A 26,904-nucleotide genomic window follows, 5' to 3' on the forward strand; every position below is an offset into this window, starting at 1 on the left:
CTTACAAGTGGTAGCTAAATGATGAGACTGCATGGACACATAGAGGAGAGAAGAATCTTTCTTATTTTTTTTTTTTTTTGATGGACTCTGGCTCTGTCACCCAGGCTGGAGTGCAATGGCACGATCTCGGCTCACTGCAACCTCCACTCCCCCGTGTTCAAGTGATTCTCCTGCCTCAGAGTCCTGAGTAGCTGGATTACAGGCGTGCACCACCATGCCCAACTAATTTTTGTATTTTTAGTAGAGATGGGGTTTCACCATGTTGGTCAGGCTGCTCTCCAACTCCTGACCTCAGGTGATCCACCGGCCTCGGCCTCCCAAAGTACTGCGATTATAGGCCTGAGCCACCGCGCCCAGCCAAGGATTTTTGCTAAATGAGTAGATTATAGCTGCTCTTGCCACAGGGGAGGAAAATGGGTAACTATGTGAGATGATGGACATGTTCATTTGTTCAGCTATAGTAATCATTGTCCTATGTATATACATCGCATATGATCATATTGTACACTTTAAATATACACAATAACATTTATTTTTTAAAAAGAGGAAAACTTTTCCCTCTTTGTACATTTAGATTACTTTTCCTTCCTTTATAATGGTTGTGTAATATTCCATACTATACTTGTATCATGATGCATGTCATCTGCCTCAAATTGAAATACACTTGGATAGTTTTAATTATAATAATGCTGAGATGAACTTCTTTGTACATTCATCTTTGTTCATTGTAGTCATTCAAACAGCATCCATTGAGCATCTACTCTGTGCCAGAAACTATTCAGGCTCTTGGAGACACAGCAGTGATAAAACAGAGAAAAATTTCTGTCTTCATAGAGGTTTTTGTTTTGTACTGTCAGGTCAGCACAAAAATAAGCAAATAAAATGTAGAGTTTGTTAGGTGGTTGTAAGCGCTATAAGGGAAAATCCAAGCAAGGAAGAGGGTTGGGGAGTTACTGATTCCCTCTACCCTCGAGGATCCCTGAGGTTATAATATCAGGAAGGTTGGCTGCAAAGACCCCACGTGAAGGTGATATTTGAGCAAAGTCTTGAAGGAGATGGTGGAGGGATCCAGGTGGCTGCTTGAAGGTAGTGAGTTCCAGGCAAAGCGAGCAGGCAGGTGTGTTAGCCAAGGAGCATATCTGAAGTGCCTCAGCAGACAAATCACTGCGACCAATACAGAGTGACCAAAGGAGATGAGGGCAGGTGATGAGGCCAGAAATATAACAGGACTCTGATGACATGCGGTCTGAAAGGTCTTTGGCTTTTATTTTGAGTAAGACAGGAACCATTGTTGGACACACTTCTAAAGTTGGAATTGACCTCAACCTCTAAATTATATCCCCAAAATGGGATTTATTTCTCCACCCTGGACCTAAAACTTATCTCAATCCTGACCCCAACTCAATTCTTTTTTTTGCTTTGTTTTGTTTTGTTTTTGTTTTTGAGATGGAGTTTTGATCTTATTGCCCAGGCTGGAGTGCAGTGGTGCGATCTCAGCTCACTGCAATCTCCGCCTTCCAGGTTCAAGCAATTCTCCTGACTCAGCCTCCCGAGTAGCTGGGATTACAGGCATGTACCATCACACTTGGCTAATTTTTTTTTTTTTTTTTTTTAGTAGAGATGGGGTTTCTCCATGTAGGTCAGGCTGGTCCCTAACTCCCGACCTCAGGTGATCTGCCTTCCTCAGCCTCCCAAAGTGCTGGGATTACATGTGTGAGCCACCACGCCTGGCACCCCAACTCGATTCTACATTTGACCCATAATAGTAGACATTATTGTTGTGTCCCCAGGCATTCACTCCTTCTGCCTTTCTATCAGAGGCTCCATTTTGTTTGGATAATACTTTATCCTCATCAGGACTATAAGCCTCAATGAACCAAGCATTGAAGCCATATTTCGTTTGCTTAATTAGTTGGAAAATGGACATGTGCTGTTCTTCTGGCCAATGAGGAGGAGGGGAAGACCACTGAGGCACTTCTAGGAAAGACTTTCTCATTTTCAAAAAGAGGCACTGAAAGGGGACTTTTTTCTTCTGCTAGATGGTGTCTTTTCTGGATGCAAATTCTGGAACTGTGGCAGCACCCCAGGGACCACAGAGGGAAGTGACCAGAGGACTAAGTCAAAACACTGCAGGTAGCCCACCAGAGAGGTGAGGATCAGCTGGGTCTTTGATGAAGTCACTGAGCTGGTGAATTAACCAACGATGGAGCCTCTTCATGTCATGATTTTTCAGATTCCCCTTCTGGGTTAGAGTTGCTTGGTCCTTGTAGCCAAAATCATCTTTATAAGACCTCAATGTTCAATCAGAATATTGACTCAGATCCCAAATCTGATCCCAAGCCACAAATCCAAATCCGATTCTAACTTGATTCCATATCTTGAAGCCACATAAATCAACAAACTCAACCATGCCTCCAGTCTTAGCTCTCTTCCCAACCCTCATCCCCATATCCCATTTCAGCCCATATCCCATTTTGGCCATTGTTAATGTGAAGATGACCAATTTAATTTTTAGAATAGTCTTTTTTAAAAAAACAAATTAGTAATTTGGATCCTATAGCTGACTACCTCTCATCTAAATTTAATTTTTTCTTAGTTTTTCTTCTATACAGTGGATTTCTTATTTTTTAGGGAAAAGTTGTTGATTGTTTATGCAATAGTTTAACACCAATCCTTTATATATTTAACAAATATGGATTGGGTGGTAGCTATCTACCAATGAGGATACAATGGTGTGCAAACCTAGATAGTGTCTCTTCCCTCAAGGAGCTGATAGTGTCATGTAAAAGAAATACAGTCAATTCATAAACAAGTGTAAAATTACAACTACAAGGCATGCTCTGAAAGACAGGTGCAGGGTATTATGAAGGCACTTCCAGAGGGGTTAGACCCAGGAATTGACTATGAGCTGAGATTTGAAAGAATATTAAACTAGAAGAAATCTTCTAGGAACTAGAAGTAGACTAGAAGAAATCTTCTAGTAACTAGAAATAGTAAACTAGAAGAAAATTTCTTCTGGTAACTAGAAGAAAATTTCTTCTGGTAACTAGAAGAAAATGGGAGGAGAATGGGGAGTGTGTTGTGTAGAGAAAAGAGCATGTGCAAAGGCCCAAGGCATTATTGCTGGAGCTCGGAGGCCAGAGGTTAACTGGGACCAGATAATGACGAGCTCTGTATGTCATTGTGAGTCTTGCTTTATCCTGTGGATAATGAAGAACTATTTGAACCTTAGTCAGAGAAATAACATAACAAGATTTGTATTTTCAAAACATCAACCTAGCTACTGTATGAAGGCTGGATTTGGGTGGGATGTGAAGATACTGGGCAACCATGGGGGAAGTCATTGTTGTTGTCTAGATGAGGGAAGATGGTGACTTGGATACAGGTGGTTGAAAGGTGGAGACGATGTTAAGTACATGGGTTCAAAATGCACTTAGGAGAGAGAATCAACAAGCCTTGGTGATGGATTGAATGAAGGTTGTGTTGAGGTAGTGGAAGATGTTAAGATTTCAAAGTCTGTTGCTCGATGGACAGTGATGCCATTCATTGAGAAGACATGGTAGATGTGGTCAAATGGTTCTGATATGACAAGAAAAGACCTCAGACCCTGACTTCAAGCAGAACCCTAAATCCAACCTTTACTTTGACACAACTCCCAACACGTATTTTGACATAAGCCCCAGCCTTTTTGTTTGTTTCAATAGCTTTCGGGGTACAAGTGGCTTTTGGTTACATGGATGTATCGTATAGCAGTGAAGTCTGAGATTTTAGTGCACCCATCACCCAAGTAGTGTATATTGTACCCAATATTTATAGTGTTTTATCCCTTATCCTCTTCATACCCTCCCCCTTCTGAGTCTCCAGTGTCCATTATACCACTTGGTACCCACTGCTTAGCTCCCACTTACACATGAGAACGTAAGGCATTTGGTTTTCCATTCCTGAGTTACTTCACTTAGAATAATGGCTTCCAACTCCATCCAAGTTGCTTCAAAAGACATTATTTGATTCTTTCTATGGTTGAGTAGTATTCCGTGGTGCATACACATCACATTTTCTTTATCCACTCATCAGTTGATGGGCACTTACTTTGGTTCCATATCTTTGCAATTGTGAATTGTACTGCGATAAACATACGTGTGTATGTGTCTTTTTGATATAGTGACTTCTTTTCCTTTGGGTAGATACCCAGTAGTGGGATTGCTGGATTGAATTGTAGATCTACTTTTAGTTCTTTGAGAAATCACCATACTGTTTTCCACAGAGGTTGTACTACTTTACATTCCCACCAGCAGTGTATAAGTGTTCCCTTTTCATCACATCCATGCCAACATCTATTGTTTTTTTGACTCTTTAGTAAGCCCCAGTCTTAACCCCAAACCTTAATCTGTACCCAATCCTGAACCTCAAATTCTGCTTTATCCTTGATGAACCCCAATTTGTATCTCAACCAATAACCTAAATCTTGACTGAGTTCTTGACTCCAAATATCAACTCAGGCTAGGATCCAGACCTCAATCAAACTTAACCCTCCTGACCCTTGACCTTAACCCTGAACCATTAGCCATAAGCCAAACTCAACCTTGACCTGAGCAGTGAATGTCACCATAGCCTGAGTATCAAGCCTGCCACGGGATAATTCAGACATTAGTCTCCATTCCCATCATATTCTAGGAAGCCCACATTCATATCCTCCCCCATGAACCCATTCCCTCACATCCAACACCAATTCTAACACTCTCACCCCATCCCACCCCTATTCTCATCCTCAACCCAATTGCTACCTAAAATCCCATTCTCATTTCCATCCCCAATTCTTTTCCCAGTTCCATTTTTATTTCTCCAGCTCACCACACAACTTTGACTCTTCATTTTACAAAAACTCTAAAATAAAGTCTGCCAACGAATATCTTGCTAACATTGATGCTATACTAACTCAACTCAAGCCGAGTCCCAAAATCTTCTGAGACATTTACTGTCATCGAATCCAAAATCAGATCCCCGAACTTGGACATCTAGCCCTGCCCATTCCACAGCAGCAATCTGGTCGTGAAGGGTGTCAACATTCCTGACCTGGGCTCCCAAATCAAGGAGAAGCAGACTCCAGCCCAGTTGACCTCACAGCTCCATGATTCAGCAATCTGTATCTTTCCTTCCTGGCTTCTCAAAGACAGAAATGGTAGCAAGACTTCCAGTGTATTATCTACTCCCTGCATCTTCATCCTTAGATTCTCTCCTCCCTCAGTCCTCTGCCTCCTTAGTATCTGTTAGAAAGAGGAAGGAGCCAGGCTACTCTAGAGCCCTGTTATTCACTCCTAAGTCACCAAAACGTCTATCCTCTGCTTTTCATCATCTATCATTCTGTAAATTATATTCCTAATTATTTAACCTGATTTTGTTGCCAAACACTGGTCATCACAAGCAGAGGAAATGTGTGTGGGGTTCTTTTTTTTTTTCCAGCACCCCGCCCAGACCGGAGAACACAGGAGGTACTTAAATAAATACTAGTCTGCAAACTTCTGGCATCCACAGGTCCACAGGCCTTAGATTCAGTCCTGCCTTGATCCCTGAGCTGTTCCACCATGCAGTGTGACAGAAAGAACTAGAAAGAACTTGGACTTTCAACCCAGCTTTGAATCCTGGTTGCCCACCCTGTGACTTCGGGTAAGTGACTTCATTTTTCTGAGTCAGACTTTGCCCCTCCCCAAAGTGGAGGAGAGCAAAACCTATTTACCGAGGCAAATGAGAGGATTAAATAAAATTATGAATGGAAAATTGATGGGCACATAACAGCCAGTGAATTAACATGAGTTCCCTCAGCCCATCACCCACGGAATGAAGAAGCAGCTCCCATTTTCCCCCCTACATTTAGTGTGGTGTGTCTGTATTCCTCACATTGGTCCAGGTGAGGATTGTCATCCCCATTTTACCTTTATTTTTTGCCGCCTGCCCCATCATCCCCATTTTATAGATGAGAAAATGGAGGTTTAAAAAAGGCTAGATCACTTGAGCAAAGTCACAGAGCTGAGGAGTCAGAAGTGTCAGAATTCAGCCAGGCGTGGTGGCTAAAGCCTGTAATCCCAACACTTTGGGAGGCCGAAGTGGATGGATCACTTGAGGTCAGGAGTTCGAGACCAGCCTGGCAAACATGGTGAAACCCCATCTCTACTAAAAATACAAAAAATTAGTCGGATGTGGTGGCATGTGCCTATACTCCCAGCTACTCAGGAGGCTGAGACAGGAGAATCACTTAAGCCAGTAAGCAGAGGTTGCAGTGAGCCGAGGTTGCACCACTGCACTCCAGCCTGGGTGACAGGGCAAGACTCCATCTCAGGAAAAAAAAAAAAAAAAAAGCCAGAATTTGAACATTGGGATTCAAAGGCCTATGGTATCACTACTGCACAAATCCATACTCTGAGAAGGAAATTTCCTTGTTACATCCACATGTACCCTCTGAGTCTCATTTGGTTCAAAACAGACTTGGATCGCCCTCAGCCTATTAATGATGCATACCCCCATGTCAGAGAGAGGCCCATATCCAGGCCCCCTGTGCCCTTTGCATTTAGTCCTGGCACCTGTTGCTAAGTGTCATCCAGACACCCAGCCCCATACCTCCATCGTCCTCAGACCTATGTCCTGAACCTTTGTTAAATGACTCATCTTCCACCTTATGATCACACCTGAGAACTGGCATCTGATAATCTTGCCAGCTATGCCTTTCCCTGAGGGATTCTGAACACTGTGACCCTCGTACCTCCTGACTCAGCCCATGGGTTCTGATGGCCCATTGTTTCATACTTCCTGGATTCTCTTCCTCCTTATTTCTTTCTTTCTTTCTTTTTTTTTTTTTTTTTTTTTTTTTTTTTTTTTTGAGACAGAGTCTCACTCTGTCACCCAGGCTGGAGTTCAGTGGTGCGACCTCAGCTCACTGCAACCTCCACCTTCCGGCAGAACCCCATTTCTTTTGGGGGAGATGCTGCCTTATTTCTTATAGTTCTGGTGAAACTGTCAATCGTAGTTCTCCAACTCCACCCACCCACTGAGGCGGAGAAATGACCCAGGCCAAGTCAACAAGATCAGTGTTTTCTCTCTGGCAACAATGATAGATTCAAGGGGTGGGCCCAGTTCAAACTGGACCAATTAGAGTTCCTCCCTGGGATTAATATCAAGATGCCAGGAGAAAGGAGATTTTTGTTTCTGTTAGTAGCTGCTATGTTCCCTCCATGCCCCTCCTTAGTACCTAAGATTGAGTAAATCAATCCCCAAGTCTTTTCAGGCTTATGTTCCACTGGAGACATTAAAGTATCTCCTGGACCAGCCTAGGCAACATGGTAGAGTCCTAGCTCTACTGAAAAAAAAAAAAAAATGGCTGGGCGTGGTGGCACATGCCTGTGGTCCCAGCTACTCAGGAGGCTGAGGTGGGAGGATGGCTGAAACCCAGGAGGTAGAAACTGCCTTAAGCATTGTTTGTGCAATGCTCACTGTACTGTAACCTGGGTGACAGAGTAAGACCTTGTCTCAAAAAGGAAAAAAATCTCCTTGGCATTGGATGATACTAAGAAAGTATCAACTGTGTAAGGTGTGATAATGTAAGTTGGTTATGTTTAAAACGAGTCTCTTTTGGAACAAGGATTGGCAAATTTTTAAAATAAAGGGCCAGAGAGTAAATATTTTAGCTTATGTGGACCAAGAGAGAAAAATGGAAGATATTATGTAGATATTTAATAGCAGGAAAGAAAATAAAATTTCACAATTTTTAATTGATGAAATTCAAAATGTAGTAATGATAATTTAGTACAAATTTTTTGTTGCTATTCCTTATCAAGCTCACGCCTGTAATCCCAGCACTTTTGGAGGTGGAGGCAGGCAGATCACTTGAGGTCGGGAGTTCAAGACCAGCCTGACCAACATAGAGAAACCTTGTCTCTACTGAAAATACAAAAAATTTTAGCCGGGCGTGATGGTGCATGCTTGTAATCCCAGCTACTCAGGAGACTGAAGCAGGAGAATTGCTTGAGCCAGGGAGGCGGAGGTTGCGGTGAGCCGAGATCACGCCATTGCACTCCAGCCTGGGCAACAAGAGCGAAACTCCATCTCAAAAAAAAAAAAAAAAAAAAAAAATTTAGCTCAGGAGATTTGGTCCAACAGCTGTAATTTGCCATCCCCTGTTTTAAAAATGCATAATAAAATATTTAAGAATGAGATGTTGTGGTGACTGAGATTGCTTCAAAATATTCTGGCATTAGGGAAGTGTGTGGTGGGAGTATAGGTGAAACAATAATTGGTTTTGCATTAACTTTTTTTTTGAGATAGGGTCTCACTCTGTTACCCAGGCTGGAGTGCAGTGGTACAATCATAGCTCATTGCAGTCTCAACCTCTCAGGCTCAAGTGATCCTCCCACCTCAGCCTCCTGAGTAGCTGGGACCACAGACGCATGCCACCATGCCCAGCTAATTTTTTAATCTTTTGTAGAGACCAGTCTCCCTATGTTGCCCAGACTGGTCTTGAATGCCTGGGCTCAAGCAATCCTCGTGCCTCGGCCTTTCAAAGTGCTGGGGTTACAGGCGTGAGCCACTGCACCGGACCTTGCATTCATTATCGAAGTTGGATGGTGGTATATGAAGACACATTATGTTATTCTATTTTGCATGTGTTTGAAATTTTCCATAATAAAAATTATAAAACAATTCTTTGAGTTGAGATGTCCCCCCCAGAAATGCATCCCTGGCATCAGAAGTTTAATGCCATGCTTGAAAGACTTCCTCAGGATTTCTGGTATGGGGGAACTGTCATAAAGCATCAGGGAGATTGATGAATGCAAGGTATCTCACACACCCACGCCCCTTGTGGAGAATTGCCTTCCCATAGCACTAAGTGGCCATGTTTCATATCACATGACTCCAAGTAGCCACTGATTGGCTAAGATTTGGTCACCTGACTGGGATGCCATCAAATGATTGGCCATTCAGTGACCAATGATGTGGCTGAAGAAGAAAAGGTGAGCTAGATGAATCAGATTCTCTTTCATGAGACTATTTTCTAAAGATCCTAGTGAAGGAGGAGGCGGGGTTTAACTCTGGACTAGATTGAAGACAGCTGGAACAGGGAAAAGGCACCAAAAGCACATCTCCATAAGACGTGCACACCAGCACCATGACAGTTTGCCACTGCCATGACAACACCCAAAATTTATCAGCCCTTTTCTAGAAATTTCTGAATAACCCACCCCTTAATTTGCATGTAATTGAAAATGGGACTAAATATGACTACAGAACTGGCCCTGAGCTGCTACTTTGTGCTCAATGCCTATGGGGTAGCCCTGCTCTGCAAAGAGCAGTACCTCTGCTACTGTGCAGTACTGTTTCAAGAAAAGTCACTAACACCACTGGGTTGCCCTTGAATTATTTCCTGGACAAAGCCAGGAACCCTCCCTGGCTAAGCTCCAGTTTTGGGCCCACCTGGCCTGCACCACTAGAAGAGTGACTATATCCTTGTAATAACTACCCCCTCCACACTCATCTTTCCCTAAAACAAGTTATGTTAAGCCTTTGCTTTAATGAAAACTTTCCCAAATGCCCTTTGCGTCACACTTCAATTTGGACACACCACTCATTTCCTTCTACCACAGCAGACACCACCAGATGGCTCTAGGCTGTGAGAAAGAGTTCTATCTGGATTTTTGGGAGCTCTCAAGATTTTTGACCCGAGTGGTGGTTTCATGGTTGTTCATTTGTGAATATTTAAGCTGTTCATATATTTTCTGCACTCTTTTCTATGCATATCTCCCAATGTTTTCCCTTTTCTTCTTTTTTTCTTTTTTTTTAAATAAAAATAGAGATGAGGTCTTACATTGTTGCCCAGGCTGGTCTTGAACTCCTGGGCTCAAGTGATCCTCCCACCTCAGCCTGTGAAAGTGCTGGAATTACAAGCATGAGCCACCATACCTGGCACAATTATTATTATTAATTTATTTGTTTATTTATTTTGAGACCGAGTCTTGCTCTTGTCACCCAGGCTGGAGTACAATGGCATGATCCCTGGCTCACTGCAACCTCCGCCTCCTGGGTTCAAGCGATTCTTCTGCCTCAGCCTCCTGAGTAGCTGAGTTTACAGATGCCCACCACCACACCCTGCTAATTTTTGTATTTTTAGTAGAGACGGGGTTTTGCCATGTTGGCCAGGCTGGTCTCGAACTCCTAACCGCAGGTGATCCATCCGCTTCGGCCTCCCAAAGTGCTGAAATTACAGGCTTGAGCCACCGCACCTGGCCAATTATTTTTTAAAGGGGGAAAATTTTATCTCCAAAGCTTGTAAATGCTTTGCTCAGGAAAACTAAACACAAACTCTTTCAAAACTGTCTTTCACATACCAGCCCACTGAATGTTTGAAGACCTTTGTATGTATTTTCTCCCCTGAAATAAAGCTCTTACCCAAGTTCTTCCAGAAAACGAGGGATCACTTTAGGCAGTGGTGATGGCCAAAGTGACCATGAGAACTTGGTTTCTGCACATCCCCACCTAGTCTGCCAGCAGGAACAATCCCGGATCCCCATCCAGCCCTCCCCACAGGGCCAAAACAGAGACAGGCAAGGAACCAGAGAGTTGTGAGTTTATTAAGGGAGATCTAGTGCTTATCCTAGAATCAGCCCTTGCTGCCTATGATCTTCTTGATCCAGTCCAGGTAGCGGCAGATGTTGGTATAGACGCCAGGTTTGTCGGACCTCCCACAGGGGTCTGAGCCCCAGGATGTGATGCCCTGGAGTGCACCATCACACACCAGGGGGCCTCCAGAATCGCCCTAGACAGGGAGAATGAGAACAGCCTTGCATCTGAGATGTCCACAACGTCCCTTTTCCTGCTGTCCCAGCGTTTTACCAGTTCTTTGGCATGATTGGTCCCCTGTAGCCAATGGGGGTAAAAGCATTGTCCCCTGAGACCAGTCAGGACAGGGCTTGGGGCTTCCATGTACAGACAGACATGGTGTCTAAGGGTAGTGGTCAAAACACTGACAGAAGAGGGGAAAGAATGAAATCCCAGACAGGCTTGGTGGCTCACACCTGCAATCCCGGCACTTTGGGAGGCCGAGGCGGTAGATCACTTGAAGTCAGGCGTTCCAGACCAGCCTGGCCAACATGGTGAATCCCTGTCTCTACTAAAAATACAAAAACTAGCTGGGTGTGGTGGTGCACACCTGTAATCACAGCTACTCGGGAGGCTGAGGTGGGAGAATTGCTTGAACTGGGAGGCAGAGGCTGCAGTGAGCCAAGATTGTGCCACTGCATTCCAGCTTGGGGGACAGAGCGAGACCCTGTCTCAAAAAAAAAAAAAAAAGAGTTCTCGAGGGTCCAATCCAGGGAGAAGACAGTAGGGATTACTTGGAGAGGACTGAGCTGAAGTTTCCTCTGTTCCTGGCCAATAGTGAAGGCATCATTGATTGCAGTTGCCAAACATAGGAGAAAGGATCAAGATTCTTATGGACACACACACACACACACACACACACACACACACACACACACACACCATATCCCCAAGAGACCATGGCTGAAATATTTGTGGAAGAGACCACTATCTCTACAGAACAATCCAGAGACTGGCTTTCATGGCAGTATCGCTGATGGAAACGACTCCATTTTTGGCCAATGGGGAAGAAAGCATTGTATTTAGGGACCAGTCATTGGCAAAGGTGGTGGGGCTTCCAGGAAGTGGACAAAGCCAGGGGAAAGTGCTAGGAACAACGAAGTTGCAGTTAGAAGAGAGAGTTATATCTATGACAAATCCCAAGAGAAAGGGATTGGAGCTCATTGAGGAAGCACTGAAGTCAATGGCACCATTTACTCCAGCCAACTGGGAAGACACCATTGTCTCCCAAGGAACCAATCACAGGAGAAGGGAACCAGCCTTGGGATTCTAGCCCGGTCTCAAAGAAAAGTGGCTGACCACCGGGCCGGTGGTAAAGTCGGCACAAATTCCACGATGTAATGCTGGGAACCAGAGAGCAGGCAACTCGTCTAAACTCTAGCCTCAGACTCTCTCCTTGCTGGACATCTACCCCACCCTCTATAGCCCCCAACTCTGCATCCCATCCTGTAGTTAAGCGTTCGAAAGAAAACAGCAGCAGCAATTCAATGCTCCTAATCCCTATGCAGTGTGACTTTCAGAGAGAGAGTTTGGCTTCTCTGAACCTGGCTCCCAATCCGTAGAGATAGGGGTGAACACTCCGGGTGCCAAGTCTTTGGGGTCACTCCCTTACCACCCCCACCCCCATCCAAGCCTTGAACCTCGAGAGGGCAATGAGGGATGTGTGAGGAGAAGGATTTCAGAAATTGCTCACCTGGCACGTGTCAGCCCCTTTGCTGCTGCCTGCACAGACCATGCCATCTGTGATCTGCCCCGGGTAAGCATCCTCACACTTCTTCTGGGGAAAGATTTTTACTTCTGCACAGTTGAGAGTGTCAGGAAAATTCTCTGAGGGGGAAGAGGTTGTAAGGTTCCCTGAGAGAGCAGCCCTTTGCCTCCATCCCTGTCTGGATCTAACCCCCTTTCTTTCCAGGATGTAATGGGGGAGTTTTCCAGCTGCATGGGGGAATTTTCTGACACTGTGCACAGGGGACATCACTTCTCACCACATTAAACGAAGCTGTACTTGTTGCTATTGGGCTTTCTCCATCTAGAGAGGGGCCCTTGGATCTCACGTGTTTTTTCTTACCCTGAGCCATTTTCAAATCAAGGGGCTGGGGGTTACTTGGAGGTGCCCCTTTATGATACCTCTGACCCTCTCTTTCCAGTCTTCCTGCCCTCAGACAACCGGGTCCTCAATCTGTGCTAAATCCTGCTCCTTCCAAGTGTCACCTCCTCCTGGAAGCCTTCCCTGACCACTCGAATTAAAAAATACCATCCCTCCATTACTCCCTATCCTTTTACGCTCCACAATATTTCCTTACAGCACTTTGCCTAATGTTTTATTTTATGTGTATTTGTTTATTGTCTATTTCTCCCACCTAGCTTGCAACTCCATAACGACAAGGACTTTGTACAGTTTGCTCATGGCTGTATATCCAGCGCCTGCAACAGCACCTCAGGCATACTAGGTGCTCAGTAAATAAGAGTTGAATTAATGATTGAAGGTGGAATTGATCTTTTTTATTAACCTCTTTTGAGGAATAGACTTCTCCAAAGCCTCTTTGAGGGGGAAAAACTTCCATCTGGCATCTCTACGTGCCAAAAGCAATATGCTCATAATCTCATTTAATCCTCACAACAGCGCTTTGAAGGAGAGATGCATTCATTCATTTCATTATTTATTCATCAGGTCATCCATTCAACAAATATTTATTGAGCATCTACCATGTAGCAGGCACCATTCTGAGCACTAGGAGAACACAATGAAGAAAACTGATGTAACCTGAACCCTCACGTAGCTAAAAAATCTATTGGTTAATGATTCCCATTTTGCAGATAAGGAAAGTGAGGCTCAGAGATGGAAAGGAATTTGCCCAGGGAGAAAGGGCAGAGCCATAGTTTGAACTGATCTACTTGATTTGCGAGCACGTGTGTTTCCACAGCCGCAAACTGTCTCATCCAAAGCATTCAGAGCAGGAGTGAGGCAGGCAGGGACCTGAATGCTGACTTTGCCACTTCCTGGAGAAGCTCCTTGACTCTCTTAGGTGAGTCCCAATGTTTTCACTGTGAAGGAAGGCGAGGGGCTCTCTGGATTCTGGAGTCCCAAAGGGACAGCTTCATTGGAGGTCCAGATTTTGGGGTCCAGAGTCAAGAGGGAGCTAGGACTGCTGGGTCCTGGGAGAAGAAGGGCCTAGACTCCCGGGTCTGAGGGAAGAGGTGACCAGGGCCCAGGTTTCCTGGGTTCAAGAAGGAGAAAAAGGCCAGGGGCGGTGGCTCATGCTTGTAATCCCAGCACTTTGGTAGGCCGAGGCGGGCAGATCACTTGAGGTCAGGAGTTCGAGACCAGCCTGGTCAACATGGCGAAACCCTGTCTCTACAACAAATACAAAAATTAGCTCGCGTGGTGGCGGGTGCCTGTAATCCCAGCTACTCGGGAGGCTGAGGTTCGAGAATCGCTTAAACCCAGGAGGCAGAGATTGTAGTGAGCTGAGATTGTGCCACTGCACTCCAGCCTGGGCGATTGAGTGAAACTGTGTCCCCCTGCAAAAAAAAAAAAAAAAAAAAAAAAAAAAAAAAAAAAAAAAAGGAGGGAGGTGGGGGAGAAGGTGCTTAGGAGCCTGTTTTCCTGGGCCTCTGAGAAGTCCAAATATCCCAAGTGTGTTAAGATTATATAAAATCCTATACAACCAAAGGTCCCATAGGGTAGTGCTCTCCGCCATACAGGATGGGCTTTTCTGGCCCTGCTTAACAATCTGCTAGTTGGTTCTTTCTCTCACCACTCTTGTTAGTAGTCAGATCTTCGAGGCTTCTCATATGACTCCTGCTTGTGAATCTCAACATCATGATCACTTTCCCTTCTTTGTCTCCCTCTGGGGGACCAAGCTTTGCCAATAGCTTGGGTTCCACTGGGCCAACCAGCTCCTCCTCTCCCTCCCATTAGTGGACAAGCCCACTACCTCGGGGACTGGTGACAGTGCCCCAGCCTGAGACGGTGCACTTCTGGCCAGGCTGGGTGCAATGATCTGCCAGGCTGATGGGCTTCACTTTGGACCCCAGGGATGCCTGGTCACGCAGTTGAAGAAGCATCAGATCATGGTTGTGGTCCTCCACATCGCTGCTGTTGTAGCAGGGGTGTGGGATGGACTGAACCACAGGTATTTCTTGCTCTGGGCCATCTTTATTCTGTAGGCTGTGGTCTCCCAGGCGTACTGTGTATTTCCTGTAATGGTGGGGATAGTTTGGGACCCAGGCAGGGGTATTGCCCCCAGCCCCCTCCTCCTTCAGACCCAGGAGTCCAGTCCTCAGCTCTCTCCTTCCTGAGTCGAAACCCCAGCCCCCTCTTTCCTTAAGCCCCAGCTGACCTCTGCCCCCATCATCCACTCACGGTTTTTTACAGTGGGCAGCTGTAAGGACCCAGTTGCCACCTACAAGGACACCGCCACAGAGTAGTTGCTGGCCCTGGAACAAGGCCGCCTGCCAAGGCTGCGAATGGGGTTGGCACTCATGACCCCCCAGCACCTTGTCCTCCTGTGCCCTGGAGTGTCCTGCAGCAGGAGGGAGAGGGTTGGATCGCCACCCTCTGGGGCAGTGCGAGGGCTGGGAAGGCCACTGTGGGTTCAAATGGACACACGGCAAGTTCTCCGCATACAACTTAGTGAGGAGGTCCAGGCTTCCACACGCTGCCACACGGGGACACTCATTTCAGTCCATGTGTCATCATACAAGAGTCACACACCCAAGAATGCCCCCACATGCTTCCACATGAGTCTACAGGCCCCGAGTACTCCCAGGTGAATCTATGCCCCCAAGCAAGCAGCCCCCAAAGGCTGTAGCTATTCAGACAATTTACAGCATCACGGAACCTACTCCTACCTGCTGCTACCTGTTTCTTGCCTCTGTCCACCCTGAGGAAAGCCCACAGAGGCTCCTGCACCGTATCGCACTCTTCACATCCGTGCACACGCACCCACATAACCCCCGCGGCATTCCCACAGACTCCCCAGCGCCACTGCTGCCTTCAGATCCCTCCCCTCCGGAGGCCTCCGCAACCCTCCTCACCTGCCCAGGCTCCCCCCAGCAAGAGCAGGAACATCCACGTCTTGGCCGCACGAGGTCGGGGGCGTCCCATGGTGAGGTCTGGGAAATGGAGAGGGCGGGGCCGGTAAACAGGAAGGAGGAGCCTGAGCTCCCAGTTCTGGATTTGGGCACTGGGGAGGCAGCCGAGAGTATCTGGGGCTGTTCTGGGCTTCTCTGGAGGAAGGAGGAGGCTGGGGGACTGGATTCCTACATTCCAAGGGAGGGGGGAGTCCTCGATGTCTGGGTCTGAGGGGACAGGGAGCTGGGAGCTGGGACTCCTAAATTAGGGAGAGGAGGAAGCCGGGGTCCAGACTGCTGGATCTCGACAGAGAAGGGCATCTGAGGCTGGGGTCCTGGAATCTGGAGAAGGAGGGTCCGGGGCCTGATGTCTGTATCTGAGTACCTCTGCACCTCACCTTCCAGAATCCAGGGGCGGGGTCACCTACTGATTCGGACCCAGTGGAGGAGGCCCCAGTACTTCAGTTCTCTGCCTGGTACACGATTCTGGAGCCTTTTAACTGGGAATCTCCACCTCCTGCTCCTCCTCCTTCTCCTCCTGCACTAGAGCCTGGGGAGCTTCTGGGAACTGGAACACTGGGTGTGAGTGAGAAGGGGCGGAGGGGATTGAACGTGAAATCTTGAGGGAGGAGGGGCTGGAATCTCAGACTCCTGAGGCTAGGGAGAGGAGGGACTCGGTGCTGAGACTCTACGATCTGAAACATAAAGGGCTGGGGGCCAAGATTTTAGTTCTGAGAGGGGAGGAGGCTGGGGGCCTGGATTCCTGGGTCTGAGGGAGGAGAGGCTGGGGGCCTGGACTCCTAAATCTAAGGGAGGAGGGACTGGGACCTGGGATTTAGGTCTGACCGAGGAGGGGCTGGGGGCCCAGACTCCTGGGTCTGAGGGAGGAGGGGGCTGCTAGGGGCCAGGACTCCTGGGTCTGAGGGAGGAGGGGCTAGGGGCCTGGATTCCTGGGTGTGAGGGAGGAGAGAGCTGGGGGCTGAATTCTAAGTACTTTTAAAAGGAGAAGCTTGGAACCTGATCTTTTGTGGGAGGAGGGGGCTGCTGCCAGTAACCGGGAACCGAAGAAAGGCAGGTCTTCTAGGGTCAGAAACCAGAGGGTGGATCAGGCCCCGCCCGCTGTCCCCTGAGAGGTCCGGGATCTGGGAGGGCAGGTTTGGGAGGCACTGTGACCTGGTTTCCCCTTCCCCTGGAGGCGGCAAGACCAACCCAAGCAGAACCCAGGAGTCTTGCTGCAATAGGGCTGATGGACAGAGACTTTAGGCAAAACTTACTAGGGGTTTAAGGGGGAGTTGCAAGGCGGTACCGGTTCCCTCATCTGCCCTTCACCGCCCACCCGTTTGCTCTCCACTCATCTCACAGCTCAGGCAGAAAGAAGGTGAGGTTTCCCGCGTTTACTGAAAAATCATCCGTTGCATTGGCTCTAAAGGTATCCAGACCCTCCCTCAATTTCCCCCCAGGTCTCCGCCAGGATTCAAACCCAGCACACGCCCAGGACGGGGCCACAAGGGGCTGAGCTCTACACCGCCCGAGCTCCACGTGGGCGGAGCTACTGCGCCCCTGACATCACGAGGGGCGAGATCTCTGGTGAAGGAGGCGGGGCCACAAGGGGTGGAGTCCCGAGGGGAAGTCCCACTGGGCAAAGTTCCGAGGGGCGGAGCTATTTTGTGTAAGTGGTTCCTTGGGGCGGAGCCACAGGCTGTGCTGTTCCAAGAAGGAGGTGATGGCTGTCGGTGACGTCATAGAGACGGGCTCTGAAGGGCGTGTCCCTGCTCCGTTCCGAGGGGGCGCGACTGTGTCTTGCTTGACCTCGTGAGGGGGCGGAGCCTCAGGGGCGGAGTCTTAGTGTCCAGAGGGGAGTCAGGGCAGCTGGAGGTCCAGGGCGGGAACCATTGAGGCTGGGACCCTACGAGAACCCCCTACCCCGTGCCCTTCGGCCTCTCTTGGTCTTCCAAGGTGCCCCCGTGGCGCGCGGGCTCAGTTCTCCATGATTTCTTGGATCCAGTCAAGGTAGTGGCATACGCTGGTGTAGACTGCGGGGCGCCGGGGTCTGGAGCAGGGCTCAGCACCCCCAGACACCACGCCTGCCAAGGTTCCATTGCAAACCAGGGGGCCCCCAGAGTCACCCTGTACGCGAGAGAAGGGCAGAGGAACTGTTAGGCCACTCTGTTCATGACAATTACACGGGCCACTTCCTCCCTCCCAGAAAGGCCCCAGCCCCTTCCTCCTCCAACATCCGAGAGTCCTCCATCTCCAGCCTCTTCTTCCTCAGACCCAGGAGTAAAAGCTCAGAGGGCCCACCTCCCCGCAGGACCTAACCTCCTCCTCCCCGAGGACTCAGACTCTGGACGCCCAGCCCACTCCTCCTGTAGATCCAGAAGTCTGGACCTCCAGACCTTTTCTCTTTTACACTAAGGAGTCCAGGCCCTGGTCCCGTCCTCTCCCAGGAACCAGGTATCCCAGTCTCCTTCTCATTTTGACCCAGGAAGGCTGGGGGCCGACCCCTCTGCTCCCCTAAATCCTAGAAAACTTGGCAGGACAGCCTCATTTTCCCCAGAGTAAGGTCTCACCTGGCAGGAACCTCGGCCCCCCTCCCACAGGCCCGCACAGAGCATGCTGTCCGAGATGTGTCCAGGGTATGCCCAGTGACAGAGTTTGTTCTCCAGGATGCTGATGTTGGCACACTGCAGTGTGACTGGAAACAGCGCTGTCAGGGAAGAGAACTGTCAAGGATCTGCAACTGTCTCCAACACACTCAGCACCCCACTGCCCTGAGTCCTCCCTGCAGCTTTTCCAAAGGACCAATGGAGCCACATTTAGGACTCTCAAAGATAGAGACAAGAGACAGTGACAGACAGACAGTCATAGCACACAAGAGAAACAAATGGAGACAAGGAGGAAGAGGGCCAAGTAGAGAGAGAGGCTGGCCGGGCACCGTGGCTCATGCCTGTAATCCCAGTGTTTTGGAGGCCGAGGCCGGCGGATCGCTTGAGGTCAGGAGTTTGAGACCAGCCCAGCCAACATGGTGAAACCCCATCTCTGCTAAATATACAAAAATTAGCCAGGCATGGTGGCAGGCGCCTGTAATCCCAGCTACTCGGGAGGCTGAGGCACGAGAATCACTTGAACCTGGGAGGTGGAGGTTGCAGTGAGCCGAGACTGGTCACTGCACTCCAGCCTGGGAGACAGAGCAAGACTCCGTCTCAAAAAAAAAAAAAAAAAAAAAAAAAAAAAAAAAAAAAAGAAAGGAAGGAAGAGAAACAGAAAGATGCATGCAGAGAGCCAAGAGATAAGAGGAGATGCATATATAACTCCCTAGCACTTTGGGAGGCTGAGGCGGGCGGATCACAAGGTCAAGAGATTGAGACCATCCTGGCCAACATGGTGAAACTCCGTCTCTACTGAAAATACAAAAAATCAGCTGGGCATGCTGTTGCACACCTGTAGTCCCAGCTACTCGGGAGGCTGAGGCAGGAGGATCACTTAAAACCCAGGAGGTGGAGGTTGCAGTGAGCCGAGATCACACCACTGCACTCCAGCCTGGGCAACAAGAGCAAGACTCAGTCTCTTAAAAAAAAAAAAAAAAGAAATAGAAAAAGACCCAGACCTCAAGGGGTGGAATGAAGGCAGTGAGATAAAAGGAAAGAGATTTGCAGGAAGATGGTCACTGATGGAGACAGAGACATAGACAGAGATACCAGATACAGTGTAGTCAGTATAGATGTGGATATGGATATATAATACACATGTGCATCTATATAAGACATGGGTGCAGGCTCCGATGCATCAAGGGATATGATAAACAGAATTGGTAAACAGAAGTCGGGGACGGGGGCTGTGCAGGGAGACAGGAGCCATTTGGGTCCATTGGAGTGAATCAGAGAACTTATCTTGGCTGAAGGGGGCAGCCTCCATTGACTCAGCCCAATGCTTGCTATTTTGGGAATGTGAGTTCTTCAAACTTTTTCAGGTGAATCCAGAAACCTGGCTTTTGTATAAAACTTTCCAAGTTTTAGATATTGGCAGCAACAAATTCAGACTGTTTTTCCAATCCACTGACCCAATTTGGCTAATGGGTCAGTGATCCGTGACTCTGAGAGACATGGTCTTATTCCCATTCTAAGATGAACGCATTTCACATTTAAACATCTCTGGGCCAGGTACAGTGGCTCACACTTGTAATCTCAGCACTTTGGGAGGCCAGGAGTTTGAGACTAGCCTGGACAACATAGCAAGACCTCATCTTTGCTAAAAATAATAAAAATTTTTAGCATAAGGCTTAAGTTAAAGGAGGTCCCATCATGGAGCAATGCATGATGGGAAATTCCCACCCAGCATCTTTTACCAGAATCAGTGCTTTATTCATGGAGGGAAGAAAATTGGAACAGTATGGATGGTCACTTTTCAGAGGCAATGGAGAGAGGATTCCTGCATCAGGTGGATTCCAGGATACTATTAGAATGCCCAGAATCTAAGATTCTAGAATTCTCAGATTCTGACACACTAGTATCCATGATTCTAGAATCTAGAGGCTCAACGTTTAGAGTTTTATGAATCCAAGATTCTAACATTCCAGATTCCCCTGGATCAAAAAACTCCAGGATTCTAACATTATCTGAATTAAATCTAAGATATGACTAGATTTAAAAAAGACTAGAATTTTGGCTGGGTGCAGTGGCTCATGCCTGTTTTCCCAGCACTTTGGGAGTCCAAGGCGGGCAGATCACCAGGTCAGGAATTTGAGACCAGCCTGGCCAATATGGTGAAACCTCTGTCTCTACTAAAAATACAAAAAAAAAGATAATAATAATAATAATAATAAATAATAAAAAAATGACCCCGGTGTGGGATGTGGTGGTGCATATCTGTAATCCCAGCTACTTGGGAGGTTGAGGCGAGAGGATCACTTGAGCCCAGGAGTTCAAAGCTGCAATGAGCCGTGATCACACCGCTGCACTCCAGCCTGAGCAACAAAGCGAGACCCTGTCTCAAAAACAAACAAACAAACAAACAAACAAACACTCTGAAATTAGAATGTGTCTTCCAGAAAATGGTGTTATATAATCAATGGGATCTAATGGGATCTTTCCTCCTCCTCCTTTTTTTCTTCTCCTCCTCCTCCTTCTTCCACTTCTTCGCAGTTCATGAAATAATGGCACATCTTAAAAATGCTAGCATCTTATATTTGGTTAAATATATCGATTGGCAGATAGATAGACTGACAGAGAGAGAGAGGAGAGAGAAAAGGAGAAGACAGAGATGAAAAGGCAGAGACAGAGGGGTGAGGGAGCAAGTTTCAGAGAGAGTTCTGGGCCAGGTCATACCCTTGGGGCTGGACACGGCCCCCCAGCCTGAGATGAGACACTGCATGCCTGGGGAGACACAGGTCTGGCTGAGGTTGAGGGGCTGCACAGCAGGACTCAGACGTGCCTGCCTGGGCAGGCGGATCAGCATGATGTCATCATTGTGGTCATTGGCGCTGAGGTCCTTGTTGAAGCCAGGGTGGGGGAAGAAGTCCGTAACCCGGAACAGCTGCTCCGGACCCTCCCATTTCCAGAGGTGGTGCTCTCCAAGGCGGACCCACAGATACCTGCTGGGACAGGCCTCAGAGGTCAAGCTGGGGGAAAGGTAAAAGTCCTTTCAGCCCCAGCCCTCTTTTCCTGTCCATCAGGGTGCTGTGTGACCCTCTGCAAGCCACACACCCTCTCTGCACCCTCATCATCTATGTCTGGCCCAGGGTACTGTGATTTTAAGCGAGGCACACACCTCCTCTGGGTCCCTGGTCCCCACTCTGATGTTTTGTGTGTCTCCATCTTTGTAGCTCTCCCCACAAAGCCCCCGCTCCTAGTCCCAGGCTGAGTGAGCCACCTTCCTCCCTACTCACCTGGAGCCTTGGTGGTGACTTGGGTCCCTAGGAACGGTGTGGGCACGGGGGACCCCACCTACCACATAACAACCGCCCCACCCCTGCCCCCACAGGTCTGGTGGCTTCTGTGGGAGCGGCTCTGTATGTCTAAGTGGTGTGTGTGTATACGTGTGCGTGTGTATGAAAGGGGATGGGATATGGAAAATCCCCAAATTGGGGGTCATCTCTGGCCTCAGCTTTTCCTGTCTATCATATCCTTCACCCTTCAATGCATGTCTTCCTGGTGTCTAACCTTAAGCCCTCACCACAGTCTCAGCGCACTTGTTTCATTTCTGGTCCATGCCCTAGACAGCTGGGATCCTTTCGGGGATGACAAGTCCATTCCCCAGCCTCTGACCTCTGACATTAGGCAGCAGGCTAATGACTGCGAATTCAGGGTTGGGGAACCAGAAACATCTGTGTCTGTCTCTCTCTGTCATTCTTGCTGTCTTGGCTCTGGATCTGGAAAAGTAGTCCTCACCCCTACATCCCTTCATCCCCCTACCCTTCCCCTGCCTCTCACTCTCTTCCACCTTCATATCTCTGCATTTCTCCTGCTTCACTTTCGGCTGAAATCTGAACATCGTTCTCCCAGTCTGATGTATAGGCTTAAGTTAAAGGAGGTTCCATCATGGAGCAATGCATGATGGGAAATTCCCACACAGCATCTCTTACCACAATCAGTGCTTTACTCATGGAGGGAAGAAAATTGGAACAGTATGGATGGTCACTTTTCAGAGGCAATGGAGAGAGGATTCCTGCATCAGGTGGATTCCAGGATACTATTAGAATGCCCAGAACCTAAGATTCTAGAATTCTCAGATTCCGACACACTATTATCCATGATTCTAGAATCTAGAGGCTCAAGGTTTAGAGTTTTATGAATCCAAGATTCTAACATTCCAGATTCCCCTGGATCAAAAAAACTCCAGGATTCTAACATTATCTGAATTAAATCTAAGATTTGAACATAGAATTTTAATGTTCTAGGACAAAAAGACTAGAATTTTGGCTGGGCGCGGTGGCTCACGCCTGTAATCCCAGCACTTTGGGAGGCCGAGGCGGGCAGATCACAAGGTCAGGAGTTCAAGACCAGCCTGGCCAATATGGTGAAACCCCCGTCTCTACTAAAAAAAAAAAAAAAAAAAAAATAGCCTGGCATGGTGGTGCATACCTGTAATCCCAGCTACTCAGGAGGCTGAGGCAGGAGAATTGCTTGAACCCGAGAGGCAGAGGTTGCAGTGAGCTGAGATTGTGCCACTGCACTCCAGCCTGGGAGATAGAGGGAGACTCTGTCTCAAAAAAAAAAAAAAAAAAAAAAAAGAAAGACTAGAATGTCATCATTCTATAAATCTATAACCTTAGAAATTTAAGAGTCTGGGATTCAAATAGTTTAAGACTACAGAATTATCTGAATCTCAATATTCTAGGATACTGTGAATCAAAGATTCTAGTACTGTGAGTTTCAATATTCAATGAATCTAGAAAGCTCTGAATTTAAGATTCTAGGATCACACTAGCCATTATGGCTATTGAACACTTGAAATGTGGCTAGTCCATTTTGTAACAGGCTATGTGTGTAAAATACAGAACAGATTTCAAAGGCTTAGTACCAAAACAAAAGTAAACTGTATCGTTCATACGTATTTAAAAATTGATTACATGTCAAAATAAGTTTTTGGGTATGTCAAGTTAAATCTATTAGAATTAATTTTACTCATTCCTTATTTTTTAAATGTGTCCACCAGAAATTTAAACTTACACATGTGGCTGGCATCATAATTCCTCTGGGCAGTGCTGACCCAGACTGCTAAGATTCTAATAGTCTGCGAATCTATGATTCTAAAATTTGCTGAGGCTATTGCAGAATTTCATAAATTCAAGATTTTAGGATTCTACGATTCTGGATTTCTCTGGGTCAGTCTCGGATTCGAAGAGCCTAAGTTTCGAATCTTAGACTTCTCAAATGAGATATTGCTGGTCTCTAGAATTTTAGGATTTGGGAGGCTACCCTTCCTACTTCTAAGAGTTGAACTTGTGGTATCAGAAGTGGAGGCTCCGCACTTCTGGCCTAAAGCACCCCTCACCCTCTCCTGACCCCCAGCCTCTGTCCCTCCCCAGCATGGCCAGCCTGGGTCACTCACGGCTTGCGGCAGTGGGCAGCTGTGAGCAGCCAGCGGTCACTGATGAGGGTCGCCCCACAGAAGAGCCGAGTAAGGTGGAAGAGGCCGGCCTGCCAAGGCTGGGAGTTGGGGCGACATTCCTCGGCCCCGATGGCACGGGTGTCTGCCCAGCCATGCCCTGGGGTGGGGATGAGGGACAAAGGGGTCAGCGAAGAGCAGGCTGGGAGGGCAGGGAGAGGATGCTGAGAAGCCTAGAGGGCAGGAGGCAGAAGCCTGGGATGGGAGGGAAGAGCAAGGTGACCTTAGTACAGCCGTGAAGGGGCAGCCAGCCTGGGAGCCTCACCTGCCAGCAGAGAGAGCAGAGCACAGAGGAGTCCCAGCTTCATGACCCCTGGGCACCTGGATCCTGGAACGTGCACCCGGCGTCCAGTGCTTCTTTATGGTAAGCCATGCCATCTCCTTCCTCCTCCATGGGGCCGCCCCTGTGATTAATCGGGGTTGGGAAATGTACCTGGGGGAGGGGGAAGCCCTGGGGCTGTGACAGGGGCCTTGGGAGAGGAGGTAAGTGCAGGGGGACCCCCCTTTTGGGATGAACTGGCGGCTTGCTGGGCCAGAGCTTGACTGAATGGAGGAGGAGTGCTGGGGGTGTGGAGAGGTTGTGGGCACCTCCTCTGGGGTCTTCAGAGTGGGAGACCTCATTCCTCATCACCTTAGGCTACAAGATACAGAATCTTTTGTGTCCTGGAAAAGGAGGGAGATCCTTGAAGCCTAAGGTCCTGGGGTGCAGCAGGTTTATTTTGGATAAAGCAGTGGTGTGCAGAGACCAACCTCCCACGGCAGGCTGGAGGGATGTGCAGGGGGACCACCCAGAAAGGAGGCGAGGGGTGGAAGACAGAGTCAGGACTCAGACACAAGAGCAAAAGATACAAAGAGAGGGAGGTACAGGCACAGAAGGACCCAAGATGAGAGGAGGAGTGGGAGGAGGAGACAGAACACGGGAAAGATTGAGGGAAATCCAGGTGGAGTGAGGCAGAGACCACAGGCAGCTGCACAGGTTTACACACCTTGCAGAACCTTCCCTGCCCTGGGGATTTGGGCCTCTTCCCACAAGGACAAGGCCCTCTCCTAGAATGTTGAGAAATCTGGTTCCATCTGGATTAACCCACTCTTGTCATAACCTGCCCCCTTCCCCACGGCTCCACCACCCAAGGACCCAGGTGCCCAACCTTCCAGGTAGCAAGTGCCCTGTGCTCTCTCTTAATACATCCTGATCTTTGCCAAATCCTGAGAACATTTGCTATATATTTTTTTCATCCATCTCCCTGCCCCCCACCCCATTGTCCCTTCCATCACCCCATCCTCCCTGCCTCTCTCCTCATCATTCCTTCTCACCAGGTGGACAGCTTCTGGAGGGCTGGGCCCAGGTCTGACTCATCTCTGTGTCCCAGCATCACCCCGTTCCAGGCGGAACAGGGCTTGCAGAAGTCCTCAGGAGATGTTCATTGAATGAGTGAATGTCTTTCTCCATATCCTTCTTTTCCTGGTGAACTCCCACTCATCCTTCAACACCCAACCTCAATTCTCCCTCCTCCAGGAAATCTCTGAGATCCTCAGGCAGAGTCCATCTTTGCCTCCCCTGGGCACTTACGATCCCTTCCACTTTCTCCTGCTCACAGGCCTGGTTATGAAGCTGGGTCTGGGCTCCCCTTGAATGTTCTCTCACTGTGTCGTCATGGTTTGGAGCATGGACTCTGGAACTGAACCATGTGTGTCCAAATCTCAATGATTAGGTGTGATTAGTGATGAGGTGTGTGACTTTGGGCAAGTCACAAGACCTCTCTCAGTTGCTCCATCTGTTTTTTGTTTGTTTGTTTGTTTGTTTGTTTTCCAAAACGGAGTATTGCTCTGACACCCAGGCTGAAGTACAGTGGCGCGATCTCAGCTCACTGCAACCTCTGCCTCCTGGGTTCAAGCAATTCTCCTGCCTCGACCTCCCAAGTAGCTGGGACTAAAGGCGTGCGCCAAGACACCTGGCTAATTTCTGTACTTTTAGTAGAGACGGGGTTTCACCATGTTGGCCAGTCTGGTCTCCAACTCTTGACTTCGTGATCCGCCTGCCTCAGCCTCCCAAAGTGCTGGGATTACAGGCGTGAGCCACCGCACCTGGCCTGCTCCATCTGTTAAGTAGCAGTAATAACGAGGGTCGTTGGGGGGATTAAGCAAATTTACACACATGAAGCACAACAGTGTCTGACACATGGTAAATGTTCAATGTCTCTTCATCCCCTGCAGAAACCTGTGGTGCCTTTATCATAGCTCATTTCACCCTTGCCTGCAGTTGTCTCACTCCCTTTCCAGACAGGGAAGTCCTTGAGATCAGGGACTGGGTATCCACTATGTGCTAAGTGCCACCTTAACTGCTATTAAGAGCATTTTAGACCAAGCGCGGTGGCTCACGCCTGTAATCTCAGCACTTTGGGGGACCGAGGTGGGTGGATCACTTGAGGTCAGGAGTTCAAGACCAGCCTGGCCAACATGGTGAAACTCTGACTCTATTAAAAACACAAAAATTAGCCAGGCATGGTGGCGGGCGGCCTGTAATCCCAGCTACTCGGGAGGCTGAGGCAGGAGAATTGCTTGAACCCGGGAGGCAGAGGTTGCAGTGAGCCTAGATCGTGCCACTGCACTCCAGCCTGGGCAACAGAGCAAGACTCTCAAAAGAAAAATAAAAAAAAAATGAGCATTTTAATAGCTACCTTTATTGACTGTGTTCTCAGTGCCTGGTGTTAGGTGAACTTTGCATGTATATTATCTCATTTAATTATCCTTTTGTTGTTGTTGTTTTTTGTTTTTTGACACAGGGTCTCTGTTGCCAAGGCTGGAGTGCAGCGGCATGATCATAGTTCATTGCAGCCTCAACCTCCTGGACTCAAGTATTCCTCCTGCCTCAGCCTCCTGAGTAGCTAGGACTACAAGGTGTGCACCACCATGCAAGGCTAATTTTTTTTTTTTTTTTTTTTTTTTTTTTAGTAGAGACGAGGTTTCACTATGTTGCTCAGGCTGATCTTAAACTCCTGAGCTCAAGCATTCCACCCATCTCAGCCTCCTAAAGTTCTGGGATTATAGGAGTGAGCCACTGCGCCCAGCCTATCTCATTTA

General features: G+C 48.0%; 2 protein-coding genes across 7 annotated transcripts, besides 4 other annotated features; both read right to left on the reverse strand.

Annotated features, from left to right (window-relative positions):
* Window positions 5,043–5,243: a silencer, noted in NCBI's record as "peak3546 fragment used in MPRA reporter construct". NCBI's record gives its function as "represses an SCP1 promoter by STARR-seq MPRAs in K562 erythroleukemia cells {active_cell/tissue: K562}" and the evidence as "EXISTENCE:reporter gene assay evidence [ECO:0000049][PMID:32103011]".
* Window positions 8,797–9,091: an enhancer, noted in NCBI's record as "tiled region #5518; HepG2 Activating non-DNase unmatched - State 22:ReprW, and K562 Activating DNase matched - State 12:CtcfO". NCBI's record gives its function as "activates a minimal TATA promoter and a strong SV40 promoter by Sharpr-MPRA in HepG2 and K562 cells {active_cell/tissue: HepG2 | K562}" and the evidence as "EXISTENCE:reporter gene assay evidence [ECO:0000049][PMID:27701403]".
* KLK8 (kallikrein related peptidase 8) lies at window positions 10,592–16,188 on the reverse strand. 6 transcript variants are annotated; one of them, NM_007196.4, is made up of 6 exons: window positions 16,116–16,188; window positions 15,682–15,759; window positions 15,008–15,167; window positions 14,580–14,842; window positions 12,335–12,468; window positions 10,592–10,798 (listed from the first exon to the last, which is right to left on the reverse strand). In NM_007196.4, exons 2-6 carry the CDS (start codon window positions 15,749–15,751, stop codon window positions 10,643–10,645), a joined length of 783 nt encoding a protein of 260 aa, NP_009127.1. In that variant the 5' UTR covers window positions 15,752–15,759; window positions 16,116–16,188; the 3' UTR covers window positions 10,592–10,642. The 6 variants fall into 6 exon arrangements, 5 of the variants coding, with proteins under 5 accessions (NP_009127.1, NP_653088.1, NP_001268360.1 ...); NM_144505.3 differs by having other exon boundaries at window positions 15,008–15,302; NR_104008.2 differs by lacking the exon at window positions 14,580–14,842.
* KLK9 (kallikrein related peptidase 9) lies at window positions 17,092–24,176 on the reverse strand. The gene is made up of 5 exons (NM_012315.2): window positions 24,089–24,176; window positions 23,767–23,923; window positions 21,042–21,307; window positions 18,288–18,424; window positions 17,092–17,844 (listed from the first exon to the last, which is right to left on the reverse strand). The coding sequence occupies exons 1-5, from the start codon at window positions 24,129–24,131 to the stop codon at window positions 17,695–17,697; spliced, it is 753 nt and encodes a 250-aa protein (NP_036447.1). The 5' UTR covers window positions 24,132–24,176; the 3' UTR covers window positions 17,092–17,694.
* Window positions 21,163–21,662: an enhancer, noted in NCBI's record as "H3K4me1 hESC enhancer chr19:51509835-51510334 (GRCh37/hg19 assembly coordinates)". NCBI's record gives its function as "activates a minimal SCP1, AML or CMV promoter by ChIP-STARR-seq in primed H9 embryonic stem cells {active_cell/tissue: H9 hESC(primed)}" and the evidence as "EXISTENCE:reporter gene assay evidence [ECO:0000049][PMID:30033119]".
* Window positions 24,059–24,559: an enhancer, noted in NCBI's record as "H3K4me1 hESC enhancer chr19:51512731-51513231 (GRCh37/hg19 assembly coordinates)". NCBI's record gives its function as "activates a minimal SCP1, AML or CMV promoter by ChIP-STARR-seq in primed H9 embryonic stem cells {active_cell/tissue: H9 hESC(primed)}" and the evidence as "EXISTENCE:reporter gene assay evidence [ECO:0000049][PMID:30033119]".

The sequence above is a fragment of the Homo sapiens genome, chromosome 19 (genome assembly GCF_000001405.40).
Source record: "Homo sapiens chromosome 19, GRCh38.p14 Primary Assembly".
In the NCBI taxonomy this organism is placed as follows: domain Eukaryota; kingdom Metazoa; phylum Chordata; class Mammalia; order Primates; family Hominidae; genus Homo; species Homo sapiens.

Excerpts from the sequence above, each read along its gene's own strand:
- KLK9 (NM_012315.2), bottom strand. The coding sequence starts at position 24,131 with ATGAAGCTGGGACTCCTCTGTGCTCTGCTCTCTCTGCTGGCAG. Across the intron at positions 21,308-23,766 it reads GCTGCCCACTGCCGCAAGCC|GTATCTGTGGGTCCGCCTTG; the intron begins GTGAGTGACCCA and ends CTGTCCCAGCAG. Across the intron at positions 17,845-18,287 it reads GGGGCCGAGGTTCCTGCCAG|GGTGACTCTGGGGGCCCCCT; the intron begins GTGAGACCTTAC and ends TCTCGCGTACAG.
- KLK8 (NM_144505.3), bottom strand. The coding sequence starts at position 15,751 with ATGGGACGCCCCCGACCTCGTGCGGCCAAGACGTGGATGTTCCTGCTC. Across the intron at positions 14,843-15,007 it reads GCTGCCCACTGTAAAAAACC|GAAATACACAGTACGCCTGG; the intron begins GTGAGTGGATGA and ends CCACCATTACAG. Across the intron at positions 10,799-12,334 it reads AAGGGGCTGACACGTGCCAG|GGCGATTCTGGAGGCCCCCT; the intron begins GTGAGCAATTTC and ends CTCCCTGTCTAG.